Genomic DNA, 13686 nt, shown 5'->3' on the forward strand with positions numbered 1-13686 from the left:
AGGTAACCCAATGTGGATGTATCCACTTCAGAATTTCCAGAACCTAGAAGGGAGCAGATGATCCAGCAGGTACTCAGTAAATATGCATTGAAGGTACGAATGAATGTAAGCTACTAGGAGTGGCCATTTGCTAGTAGGATTGACAGGACTGCTCTAAGAGGAATCACATGGTATTAAGGAGAATAAGAAAATGGGGGTACTATCGCATAGACTGGCATAGAGAAAAACCCAATTGCTGTATACTTTTATTTTATGCTACATACCTTACCAGCGGCCAATCTGTCATCTGGTTAAATGGAGCACTGGCGGTGAGGACGGCATGAACAGCTCTCTCAGAGCAGTTCATGGGAACTGTGAGTTCACTCAGCTTTAACCTCGGGAACTGCTGGCAGCCTGTCACGGGCACGTGGTTATGACAGGACACGTGGCAACAACAAGAAACATCTGAGACAGTTCCACATTCTGTGACCTCACTTCTTCCCTTGGTTGTTGCTAATGTTCTTATATTGTTCCAGCTACAAAACGGAGTCTGAAAACGTACAGTTCTCTTTCCATCGAACTGGCTGGCCTCCCTGCATAGGGCAAAGGAGTCATGGACTTGGGGCCGTTTTCAAGGTTGAAGCCAATTGGTAATTACTGTGGAAGTATTTCCAACGAAATGACAGCACTGTGGGATCTCCCAAGAATGTGGCTTTTATAAAAACTGGGCACAGATACTCAAAAGGAGCATTGGTGCTGTTGCACACATAGCGTGGATGTCCACGGAATGAACATCTCCGTAGCCTTTCTTCACTTTCGCACCGTGTAATGAAACTCGGCTTTTCAGTTAAGCCCCTAGACAGGGAGATGTGGGTGGCCACTTGATTAAGAACTGGAAGTATTTACATTCTTGTCTCTAAAAGAAAAAGGCATGCCCTCCCTGGCTCTTTTCCATTCCAGTTGTTTGGAATGTGGGCAAACTGATAGCCAATGTGGATAATACAGATGAGGGCAACACTCCAGAGGTGGTGAGCATGGAGTTAGGAGGAGCCAAACCCCTGGCTCTGGCAGGCGTTATATCAGACTTTGATCATTACACTCAGGCTTTTATGTGAGAGGGAGTGGGAGACTGAATAATACTGCCTCCCCCATAGAAGATGTCACCATCCTAATTCCCAGAACCGGTGAATATGCTACCTTAAATGGCCAAAGGAACTTTGCAGATGTGATGAAGTTAAAGACCTTGAAAGGGAGAGATCATTCTGAATATCCCAGTAGGCCCAATGTCATCTCAAGGGTTGTTCCTTATAAGAGAGATTTGGGGGGTCACAGAGCAGGCAGTACGACAACATAAGCAAAGAAATTTCAAAGATGCGGTACTGCTGCCTCTGATGGTGGAGAAGGAGGCCACCAGCCAAGGAATGCAGGCAGCCTTTAGAAGCTGGAAAAGGCAAGGAAACAGATTCTCTAGAAAACTTGTAGATAATTAAATACTGATGATAAGGTAGTATGCCAGGATGTTAATGTAATTTTCTTATCGTCTCTGTTCTGGCTAAGGTCCCAAGCAAGGCAAAGAATAATAGATGCCCCCTTGCCCCACTTTCTCGAAGTCTTAGACCTTCCACTCGGAGTTGCAAAAATGGTGGACAAAATAGGGTTCTGCAGTATTAGCATATGACTCAACTCCAGATTATATAAGATTAGGCTGAGGGTGGAAGCGGCTGGTGGTGAGAACTTCCTTGGAAGTAATCAATTGGTTGGGGATTCCTCAGCCTCCCTCTCCAGAAGCCCAGGGAGTGGACTATGTAAAGACCTTCACCATGAGCTCCCTGAAGTTTGGGGGTGGCAGGCCTGGTGTCTTCAGTGGCATTAGCGGGGCAATACAGAGATTCAGTGCCAGAGGTGAACTGACCATGGAGCCATGAACTTTCATGCCCGCCCATCGCATGGGCCCCTTCCAGGGTCTGTACCTAATTTTATATTCATAAAGTGTACTCTTCTTCTTAAATAGGACTTCCAAAATGACAAAAGCTACAGGGGCACAAAATTTGTATCTTCCCTGGTCTGTGTGTAGTCTGAGGCTGATTGAGAATTCTGAGGCGGATGGCTGTGGAGGTCAGGCATCCCCAGTTGGGAGGTCCTTGGTTGCAGGGTGGTACTTCTGAGCAACCCACCCCACTGCCCTCATGAGAGATGGAGCTAGCCAGCAGACATCTCCCATGGGCAGAGTGTACCAGAGCCAGGATATAACCAAGATGGTCAGGTTCTGCTCTCCTCTCCTTGAGTCTCCTTTCCCACTTAGCTCAACCTCATTGGGAGGCATTGAGACAGGGGAAGCCACAGCTTATGAGAAGGGGAGGGAGAAGAGATGGAGCTGGGAAGAGAGAAGAAACTGATCACGCTGTCTCTCAAGCACACCGAGTTCTCAAAGATGTGATATCACCCAATCTACTGGATCCACCAGAAAACGAGGGAGTAAGTTTGAGTTAATTGCCCCAAAGTAAGTGAGAAGAATGGATGTAGACTTACATTAAACTTACTGAGTTTACTAGCTCCTGATCTGGTCCTTTGATTCTGCCTTTTGTCTCTGGGGTATTTTTGTAGGGTTTGATTCAAAAATGTTACGAGCGAAGCCTTGTGAAATGGTGGAATTATAGAGGAAGTGTTTAGTTTGGGTACTGCTATATGGGATTTCCCCTGACTTGGGGATCTATCCCAGCAACAGCTGTAACTTAGTGACTTCTTGTTTAGCAACTGCCATGTGCATTGATTTCCACTTTTGCACAATTGATTTTTGCTTCTTTTCCCATTTGTGCCTTTGCTTTTGGACAGATATCATATGAGTGTCTGAGAGTTGTCTCAGAGAGGTCAGGAGACCTTGTGAAGAAAGACCTTCTTTGTCAATACCAAACATCAACAAGTAAACGTCCAGATTTATGAAGGAGACAGTATGGTAGCTGAGTTTAACCTTAGCCTTTTTGTTTTCTACCCTTACTTGACATCAAGTGATTTAGAAAAGAAAGAACTTGAGGAGCTACAATTGCAAACCTTGTGGACACTAGCCTTGGGTTGTTTTAAAATCTGGCTGAAAGTCCTTATGTTCTTCCAATAATCTGTTGTTGAAGAATTTTCCAGCACAGTAGGAAGATTAATAAATTCCCATTAAGCAATTTCCTTGATAAAATGACAGCTCTACATTTGGTAGTTTATTTCTATAGAGGATTTACTGCTTTTTCATCCCTATCTTAGATACCCAGAAAGTAGAATCTATTAATTCTCAAAATGGCAACATATTGGAAGACATATTAAAGCCCTTCAGTATTCCTCACCCTTCATACTGCAAAGCTTAAATAAAATTATGAATTTTGACTATATTGTGTTTTTCCTCGACAATATTTCAAAGTATCTTTCTAATTCTCACTGGAATCTGGTATTGTTTTTCAAATGTCCAGCAGATGAGGGTGATGGAGTAATGTTAAACATGAGAACATGACTTCAGTTTGCAGGGCCATGGCTACTGGCTCATCTATGTAGAGTGGTCAGTCTCCCACAAGCAAGCTGCGAAAGATGACAAAAGGCTGTATTCACTCCTTCATCCACTCTGATTTGGACATGTGAGGAAATCTACAGGCATTCCCTTACCCATCTATAATTACTTATTGATTTCTTGTTTTGTGAGTGCAATGGCCGCAAGAGCCAATGAAATGAATCCAAGAGCAGTAAGGAAAGAGAGCCTGGTGTGAGACAGGCCATGAAGGGCATGACTCCACTCCCATCAAAGCTCATTCTTCACTTGCTGTGCAACCCAAGAGTCTATCTTCTCTGACAATAAAAGGAAGGACATTGAAAGATTAGTTTTACGTTTTCTTTCTCTCATCACGAAGGCAAGAGTGAATACAGTGTCTCTATTCAGAGAAATATGATCTTACTCTGTTTCAAGCACAGGCAGTCTGGCATTCTTCAAGACATGAGCTCACTGTGCAAGATAACAACATTGTGTGTGGGGTGGAGTGGAGGGGGGCACAACCATAAAAACACCAGACCACTAATATTAGGAGGGATAATGCATCTGGTTTCTAACCCCATTGCTTGTCAACAAGAGGTTGGGTCTGACGTCTGATCTACCTGTGATTTGATCCATACGCTTAGGAACTATGGATTTTATTTATTTTTTATTTTTATTTTTTGAGACAGGGCCTCACTCTGTCACCCAGGCTGGAGTGCAGTGGTGTGATCTCTGCTCAATGCAGCCTCCACCTCTTGGGTTCAAGCGATTCTCCCACCTCTGCCTCCCGAGTAGCTGGGATTACAGGCGGATTGCACTGCCACACCCGGCTAATTTTTGTATTTTTAGTAGAGATGGGGTTTTACCATGTTGGCCAGGCTGGTGTTGAACTCCTGACCTCAAGTGATCCGCCTATCTCGGCCTCCCAAAGTGCTGGGATTACAGGCATGAGCCACCATGCCCCGCCTGAACTATGGATTTTAATTCATTCGGAGAGATACTGAGTGGACGCTGTTCTCTCTGAAGCACTTTGAGATTCTTAGAGCAAAATGAGCTTCAGGACCATAAGCTGAACATTGGAAAAATCATCTACCACTTTAACAACAGGGACTGCCCTGACCCTTTCCATAGTAACTTTACAGGGTCTGTTTGAATGGCCTGGCTTGTCTTCCAGGCAAGCAGTCCACGGAGAGGCAAGGGCACGGAAGCATGCAGGTAGCATCCCCTCCATTCTGATCACCAGCTTTCAGCACCTAGCACTCTCTGTTGTAAACATGGGACTCTGTTTCCTATAGGAATATCGCTAGCAGGCAGAGCTGCATGGGAGAAAGGAGAAAGACCGTGGGAAAGCAGAAAGACAGTGGGACTAGAGGAGACAGAGTAGAGAGACCAGGGGGAGAGGAGCTGTAAAAATGTAGGCAGAGGTGACTAGTGATGATGATGATGATGATGATAAAATGAAATCCTCAGATCCAAACCTTCAGCTGCCTGTGGACAGGATGGCAGAGACGGCACTTGCCAATCAAACAGCTTGGAAAAGGGTTGTTGAATTAATGGCAGCAACTCCCATGGATATATTACTTTCCATTTTACAAAGCACTGTGATGACTGCTGTTCCATTTGAGACATCAGCAATCCACTGAGGCAAGTGTTATGGCTTTCCCATCATGGATGGGAAAACCAAGGGAGGGGGTGGGATTGAGGGAGAGATGCCCACAGACTTCATGAAAGGCCATGAAGGTTCTTTAACACAAAGGTCAAGGAAAGATACAGACTTGGATACATAAAGTGGAAGGAAGGCATCATGGTGACCCAGGCTTCCAAACCTCCAAAGATCTGAGGGCTTGTCCCGCTGCTTCCAGAGAACATGCTGCCAGGTCTAAGAATAGCCAGAGACCATTTTAAGAGGTCGTTTACTTTCCTGGTGGCTCTTCATCAGGAATGGCTGCTTATCAGGTACAGATAACCGGCTGCCAAGCAACCCTAGCGCATCTGAAACCTGGTGAATCGGAGGGCTACTCATGGTGTTCCGCCCCTCAGCAGAGGTGGCCAGAGGGCTGCCGGAAGTCAGTTCTTACACTGATGGACAAGGGGTCTCAAGTCACCTGCCCAAGGTCATGCTGCTGGTAAGTGGCAGGGCTGTGCTGTGGACCCCTGGCCATGCACTCTTTGTATTTCACCAAATTGTAGGATGAGCCTTTCAGACACCAATGTGATCTCCAGTTTTATGAGTAGAAGTTGAGTGTCCCTCATCAGGAAAGCATAGTCTCTGTCTATTCTCCTCTGCTTCAAACAAGCTTGGAGGAATACGTTCATTTTGGGGTGCTATATTACCAAAGGGATACCAACAAACTTACATGCATTTGGCAAAAAAGGATAGCATGGTGAAGGCTGTGGAAAGGCTGACATATTAGAATTCAGCATGTGATGGGATTCATGCTAACCCCAAATATGGCACCTTGGCATTTGGGAAAACAACAGAGGCAGAAAGATCTCTCTCACCTTCCCCTCACGCTTCTTCCCTTAAGCAGGTCATAAAACCCTCATTCGAGAGGTGCCTCCTTATACTGGAGCAAAGGAACAGCCTTATCTCTGAACTCACAGGGGCCCACAGAGGAATCCGTAAGATCTCCTTGTTTATCAACATTAGATCATACCCTTTTGTCCTCCAATCAGACTTCTCCATGGGTGTCCACTCTCCATCAAACTTAAGCATAAAAATACACAAGTTTACCTGTTTCTTTGGGCCTTTATTTCCTTACAGAGGTTCTCATATAATTAATTGGCATGCAATTATCTCATGTAATTTTCTAATTATATAGATAATTTTGTATGCTTTTCTCTTGTTACTATAATTTGTCTTTCATTATAGGGGCTTCAGCCATGAACCTAGTGATGGGTGAGGGAGGATATTTCTTTTCCTCCCCTACACATTTTAGACCTAGAAAAGAAATGACCTTGTAGATAAAGATGGCTAGCTTCAAATCCAGGAAGGCTATTGCAGAGAAGACAGATTAGACTTTTCCAGTACAGCTTTTAGAGGACAGAAGTTGCAAATAATGAGATTTTTGCTTAATATAAGTAAGAAGTTTTGGATGATTACAGTTACCCCAAAATGGGATAACATGCCTCATTAGGTTGTGATTACAGCTGACATTAAAGCCATTTGGGAAGAAAATGACTGCTGGAACGGTACTGCCTTTCTTCTCCTGCCACAAACCTTTTGCAGGGGTTATGCAGCCCCCTGTCCCCATCCTCCCTGGCAGGGGGCTGTGGCGATGGGACTGAGCTCTCACCCCGGGGTGTGAGCCCGAGACTGGCAACTTCTGTGCCACTTGCCCTCCCCTCTCCCCTCTCTCACCCTATGGGCTGGAATGAGAAGTGGGCAGAGCCAGGGTGCTTTGCTTACACAGGCAGGAATGATGTTTCTTTTGCAAGGCAGAGCAATGTGACAGGCATCAAGGTCACCTGCTGGCCTTGGGCCACCTGCCTGAGCACGTACAGCTCCATGAGAGGGAAAGGGATCCCTGTGTAGTCTCAGCTCCTATAGTTTTGGGTCCCAACCAATGCAACTACTTCTTGGAGATGTTGTGCAGATTATTAAGGTATCATCTAAGAATTTATACATGATGATTTCTATAATCTTTTAATTCTATGACCTCCCCCTCACCCATCTTCTTTCCTTCAAAACCAGCCATCCTGACAGTTCCCCAACCATAGTCAAACATAAGCACCCTATTATTTCAGTCACTCCATTTCTTTTTAAGTCCCAAGGTTCTAAAAAGTCAAGAACTTTCCATCTCCTACTTCTCTTGTACCCCGACATCCAGTCTCTTCCCATGGCACATCGTCTTTTCCTTTAGAAAATATCCTCTGCAATGACACAAAACATCTAAGTTCTATTTGCGGTTATCTAAACTTAAAGACTGGCTTTAAAAGGGTGATGCATTCTTTAGCCTGCAAGTGATCACATTCTCCTACATCTGTTGATGTTCCATTAGGGCAAAATAACCCAGAAGGCCAAGCTTCACAAAAGTCAAAGGTTCCGATGATACAAATATGCTTTGGTTCCAAATGCAGCATGAATCAAACATAGTTTTATATTAATCAATACACCCAGCTGGAAGAATATTCTGATTTGAATCAGAATGTGTCTCCCTAGATAACATAAAGTAGGTGAGCTAATGAAATGACATTCTGGCCTCTGTACCTGGGTTCGACAAGAAAATGAGCATGACAGATGGCGCCGAATTCTGTTCCACGGACATGTAACTCTCAATCCAATTCCCATCTCTCCCCTCACACTTTCCCTTTTATCCATAATGTCCTTATCTCTTACCTCCTAATTATGCAAACTCCATAAATGCCTCTCCAGATTTGGTCTATAAGTTTCTTTCCCTTAATTCATGCTTTAAAATTTGTAGTATGTAATTCAGAACTGAATGAAGTTGCCCATTATAGTTTCATATTTCATCTTTACCCCTAGTACCTCCTTCCCATATCTTATGTTTTCCTTTGGAACGCTTCCTTTGCTAAGCCTAGAATAGATGTTTAATAAATAGATTCGAAGCATGGATAATTAAAAGATATGGATCAGACATTTTTTCAATGATATGCAAATTGTCAGTGAAGAACAAAATAGAAATCTATTTCCCCACTGATTAAAAACAATTCATAAAGATGAATGAATTTGGTTTTCTCACAAAGGAGCTTTTCAAAAGGAAAGCTTTTTTGAATTTTGAGCTTTGCTATTAGCAGCACTTATGACACTGGGCACAAAGATCTTCCTTTCATTTCACAACTGCATAATTTGGTAATTATTAAGAACAGCTCTTTCTCGATATTTTTAAATCATGGGTCCACTGAAAACATCACCATTCATTTGTCCAGTCCATCCTTCTTGAATCTCTTCAAATGAAACATATTTTAAGCATCTTCAACTCTTGAGTTTTAGCTCCATTAAATTCCTGTCAACACATTCTTTTTTTCATGGAAATAGACAGACAATTATGCTTTTTGAACTCTACTAACAACAATGAAAAACATTAAGATGGAAGACTCATATGACTATTCAAGAAAGAGCCTGGAGAGTGTCTAAAAGCTGCTTCCCTTCAATGCACAGAAGTATCAGAAGGTTTATTTCAGCAAACAGGAAACGTTCAGGATCTAAAGGAAAGAGGGTTTTATTTCAGGCAGTAATATTTCATTGAGCTTCTGGAGCCACTGATTCAGAATGGCCAGTTCCTTTCTAATTTATACCATGTTCCTCATTTCTGGCTGCCTATTTAGCTGAAGGACTCTTTCCTGGGCGAGACTTCATTTGCCTCCTGGAGGAATTCAAGAAGGAATTAACTAAGGAGGCTGGGATAGGAATTTCAAACAAAATAGAATGGAAGCCAAAACATTGTAGATAAAAGGCTTATGCTAACCCATTATATGAAATGCTTTGGGAAGGACTTAACAGTTGTCCCTTGAGCCATATGGGTTTAACACTGTGGGTCCACTAATATGCAGATTTTTTTCAACCAAATGCAGATAAAAAATACAGTATTTGCGAGATGCAAAACCCATGTATAAGGAGGGCTGACTAATTTCCATAGGGCCTTGAATATTCACGGATTTTGCTATCTGCCGCAGTCCTGGAACCAATCCCCTGTGTATACTGAGGGATGACTCTCATTGATCTAGAACTTCCACTTAATTTTGCATTCTGTTTCAACTTAAACACACTTCCTCTTAGGGAACAGGAAAATTTTGAAAGAGAAATATATAGGCTACACTTTATAAAACTTCAAGTGCAAAGTAATGAATAGTTAAGGGAAGTTAGAAAGGCCTTGGGGGAAATCTAGAAATAGACTCTAACTTAGTTGAGACAGCTATTAAATATTTTTTTCCCCCATTGCTTAGAAAAATACAAATTTTCCCTCTGGCAAGATGGGTCTCATTCCCTATGATGTGAGCCCCTTACTGTGGTCCCACGTCCCTGGCCAGTGAGTGGCCGGTGACCTGGGGGATGGGGGCTATAGATGGGGATGGAGGCAGCAATGATCTTGGCTTTCCCACTCCCTGCAAGTGGCCAGGGGGCTGCAGGTGGGTGCTGTGGGCAGTTGCTGATGGAAGCCCAGGCACCCTTCTGTAGTCCTGTTTGTGCTTCCTGAATCCCTGCATGGAAACCAATGCCTATGCCATTCTCCCCGCTTATTGGTGATGTCCTCTATCCCCTATATATTTTTTTTTTTGAGATGGAGTCTCGCTCTGTTGCCCAGGCTACAGTCCAGTAGTGCGATCTCAGCTCACCTCAACCTCTGCCTCCCAGGTTCAAGTGATTCTCCTGCCTCAGCCTCCTGAGTAGCTGGGATTACAGGCGCTGCTACCACGCCGAGCTTTTTATTTTTTTTTGAATTATTAGTAGAGACTGGGTTTCACCATGTTGGCCAGGCTGGTCTCAAACTCCTGACCTCAGGTGATCTGCCTACCTCAGCCTCCCAACATGCTGGGATTACAGGTGTGAGCCACTGCACATGGCCTTCTACCCCTATTTGTTAACTCGAATTTAAACTCCCATGCTTGCTGGCCTTGTCACAATAAAACAACAACTTCTGGGAAATGTTAAAAAAAAAAAATTCTCCCCTCCTAACCAAAAAGGAAAAGTTAGGCACCCCTTATTGAGCAGATTTTGGAAATGAGGCCTTGAATAAAACTTTCTAGATGTGACTTTTTTCTCTTAAGGGATTTTTGAGCCATGTTGGGGGTGAAGACTCTTTGGAGGTATGCGATATGAATTCCTGCCTGCCTTGTGAGAGGAACAAATGCCGAGCATCTTGGTGATCCACGTTTGTCACTGGGAGCACTGTCTTTTTCCTTCTGGCCAGTAACACTGTGAGGTTCTCAGGGGCTTAGTGACGTGGGCCAGACAGTTGAGTCTCCTATTCAGTGTTCCTAGTTTGCAGTGGTTCTTGATTTCCTGAATTACGTGCTCTGTTTCTCTCTTTCCATATATAAAGATATATATACATATATATATATATCTTTCCATATATATATATATCTTTCCATATATATATATATATATTTCCAAAATTACTTGTTAACATTTGTTGATTTTTTTTTCCCCAAAATCCCTCTGTCATTACTTGTTAGTCTACTGTAGAATACTGAAGCTCAGGAAAATGAGCTTATTTTCTTTTCTGTAAGATGACTTAGGGTAAGACCCTGTGAGCACAGGTCTGTCCAGTCCAGAAAGTTCATGGATCTTAGGAGCTACTCAGGGGACACATTGCCTCTTTTCTGGCTTCTTCACTGATTCTCGTTTCAGTTGTGTTTCAATGACTGAGGCTGTGGGAAAGTGCCCTCCACGTCTGTGACGCCTCTCAGGGTCCCGTGTTGAGTGTTTGGACTCAGGGCCCAGGTGAAGCCAGCCTTACCTTTTTGTAGAGACTCCTCAGATCTCGGTACTGCCACATGCTGTTGAGGACCTGAGATGCAGCCTTGACCACTTTTGGAGAGTGTCTGATGAAGAAAAGACAGGAAAGGCAAGATGTGAGTGGGACAGCTGTGTCACATTTCTGTAATTCTTGTAGTATTTCAAACCTCTTCATTATTATTATATCTATTATGGTGATCTATGATCAGTGCTCCCTGATATTACTACTGTAATTGTTTTGGAGCACCACGAACTGCACCCACCTAAGACAGCAACCGTAATCAAGAAATATTGTGTGTTCCGACTGCTCCACAGACTGGCCCTTCCTCCTCTCTCTCCTCAGGCCTCCCTCTTCCATAAGACAAAACAATGTAGAAATTAGGCCAATTAATAACCCTACAATGGCTCCCAAGTGTTCAAGTGAAAGAAAGGGTTGCACGCCTCTTACTTTAAATCAAAAGCAAGAGATGATTAAGCTTAGCGAGGAAGGCACGCCACAACCCAAGACGGGCCAAAAGCTGGGCCTCTTGTGCCAAACAGTGAGCCAAGTTGTGAATGCAAAGGAAAAGTTCTTGAAGAAAATTAAAAGTGCTACCCCAGTGAACACACGAATAATAAGAAAGTAAAACAGGCTTATTGCTGATATGGAGAAAGTTTGAGTGGTTTGGATAAAAGATCATATCAACCACAACATTCCCTTCAGCTAAAACCCAATCCACAGCAAGGCCCTGACTCTTTTTTTTTTTTTTTTTTTTTGAGACTGAGTCTTGCTCTGTTGCCTAGGCTGGAGTGCAGTGGCGAGATCTTGGCTCACTGCAACCTCTGCCTCGCGGGTTCAAGCGATTCTCCTTCCTCAGCCTCCTGAGTAGCTGGGATTACAGGCGTGTGCCACCATGCCCAGCTATTTTGTATTTTTAGTAGAGATGGGGTTTCACCATGTTGGTCAGGCTGGTCTCGAACTCCTGACCTCGTGATCCACCCGCCTCAGCCTACCAAAGTGCTGGGATTACAGACGTGATCCACCGTGCCCAGCCAACTCTCTTAATTATATGATGGCTTGGTGAGGTAAAAAAGCTACAGGAGAAAAGTTTAAAGCTAGCAGAAGTTGATTAATGACTTTTAAGGAAAGAAGATATTTCTACAACATAAACAAAAATATTTGTGTGATTTGCTTTATTGAGATATTTGCTTTATTGCAGTAGTGTGGAACCAAAACTACAATATCTCTAAGGTATGCCTGTAATTCCTTTGACTTAAAGACAGAGAATTTTAGATCCTTTCATGAATCCAGATGAAGCTGCATTTCATTCTCATATAATCGATGCTGAACAAAGATTAAATGTGATGTTTTGTTGTATTTTATCATTTAGCTAAATATTTGTTCATGACAATAGCCAAGCAACTCTAGAAAAACATATATTAATATTCAGGTCGTGATAGTGTAGTTGAAATACAATTAGTGTGCAAAAATGCTTCTGAGTAGAAACAAAAGTGTAGTTTTTGTTTCTATCTTTTGCATAGTTACAAAACCAAAAGAGACTGTGAATGTGTAACGAACAGCAGGTTTTAACCTCTCAATTAAAATGCCAATACATCACAGTGTTATACTAACATGTGAAGGTTAAAGAAACTTTGCTTTCTTTTTAGACTTTAATTTTGATGCATTCACTAGATGGATGCCATGGAAATTTCTACCTGAAAAACTCTTCTAAATATTGATTGAAGGGCTTGGACAATTGTGTGTTTCTAATGTGACAAGTGATTATAACCCAAGCCACAATACACAGTTCTTTACTGACAGTAACAGTTAAGACTGTTAATAGCTTTTCCGTCTTATGACAAAATATAGTGACACATTCAACACTACTTCCCATATAACTGTTAAAATTGGGGAAAAAAAACCAAATGTATTCTTGAGACAGATGAACATGATAGAATGTCCATAATGTATGTTTAAAATGATGTGAAAAGAATAAATAATTAAGATTTCAAAATGGCGAGTATAAGACTACTATAAGAGTTAATAACAATTACACAATTGGAGTTTGATCTTCACTAGAGCTGTCACATCAGGGGTGGTGAGGACTTCAGTTGGTGCAGTTCATTGTGGCTGTCAACACAGCTGTGCCAGCGGTGGGATCACAGAACACTAGCCCCCTTGGTTGTGTCCGCCAGACGCTGTGAGTTGTGCAGTTCTGATAGACTGTGATTGGCAACTCGCCAATCTGACTCATTAACATCACTGCACATTTAAGCTTGTATATATATATATGTATATATAAAGAACATGTATAAATACATAAACTAGAGCATCATAGCAAGGCACGTTTCTTCCATCTGTGTTTTCCCATACTATCACAAATAAAAATCAGGTTTGAACTGAACTTATTTCTAGAAATAAGTTTTTAAGGAATAATTTAGGGTGGGCAAATTAGCAATCATTTTATAAATAAGCTATGGTGTATTTGTATACCTACCGTTCCCAATTATTAAATTATCCTCAGTTCCAAAAATTTGATTTTCAATAAATAAATTCTATTTCCTTAAAATTTGTCTAGAAGTCCATGGGAATCTCCATACCTACTATTATAATAGAATTGAGTCAGAAATGGTGAGTTTCATGCTCAAATTTGGAGCAATTCTCCTGAATTCATTTTGTTTTAAGAGCAGTGAAAAGCAATAATAAAACTGAAGTGTAGGTAGGAGACGAGGATAAATGTAGTTATAAAAACCTTGTTTTGATCTCCAAATTAGTCAGTATATATATAAAAAAAGAGAT

General features: G+C 42.3%; 1 protein-coding gene across 12 annotated transcripts in view; it reads right to left on the bottom strand.

Annotated features, from left to right (window-relative positions):
* Positions 1-13686, bottom strand: part of CTNND2 (catenin delta 2) — a 932611-nt gene that overhangs the window by 35230 nt on the left and 883695 nt on the right. For all 12 annotated transcript variants that reach the window (NR_109988.2, XM_017009074.2, XM_017009072.2 and 9 more), the window contains one exon: positions 10909-10993. Coding sequence is in view for 11 of the 12 variants with exons in the window: in XM_017009074.2 (XP_016864563.1) it covers positions 10909-10993 (85 nt within the window). In the remaining variant the exon portion in view is untranslated. The remainder of the gene's footprint in view (positions 1-10908; positions 10994-13686) is intronic.

The sequence above is a fragment of the Homo sapiens genome, chromosome 5 (assembly GCF_000001405.40).
Source record: "Homo sapiens chromosome 5, GRCh38.p14 Primary Assembly".
NCBI classification, from domain to species: domain Eukaryota; kingdom Metazoa; phylum Chordata; class Mammalia; order Primates; family Hominidae; genus Homo; species Homo sapiens.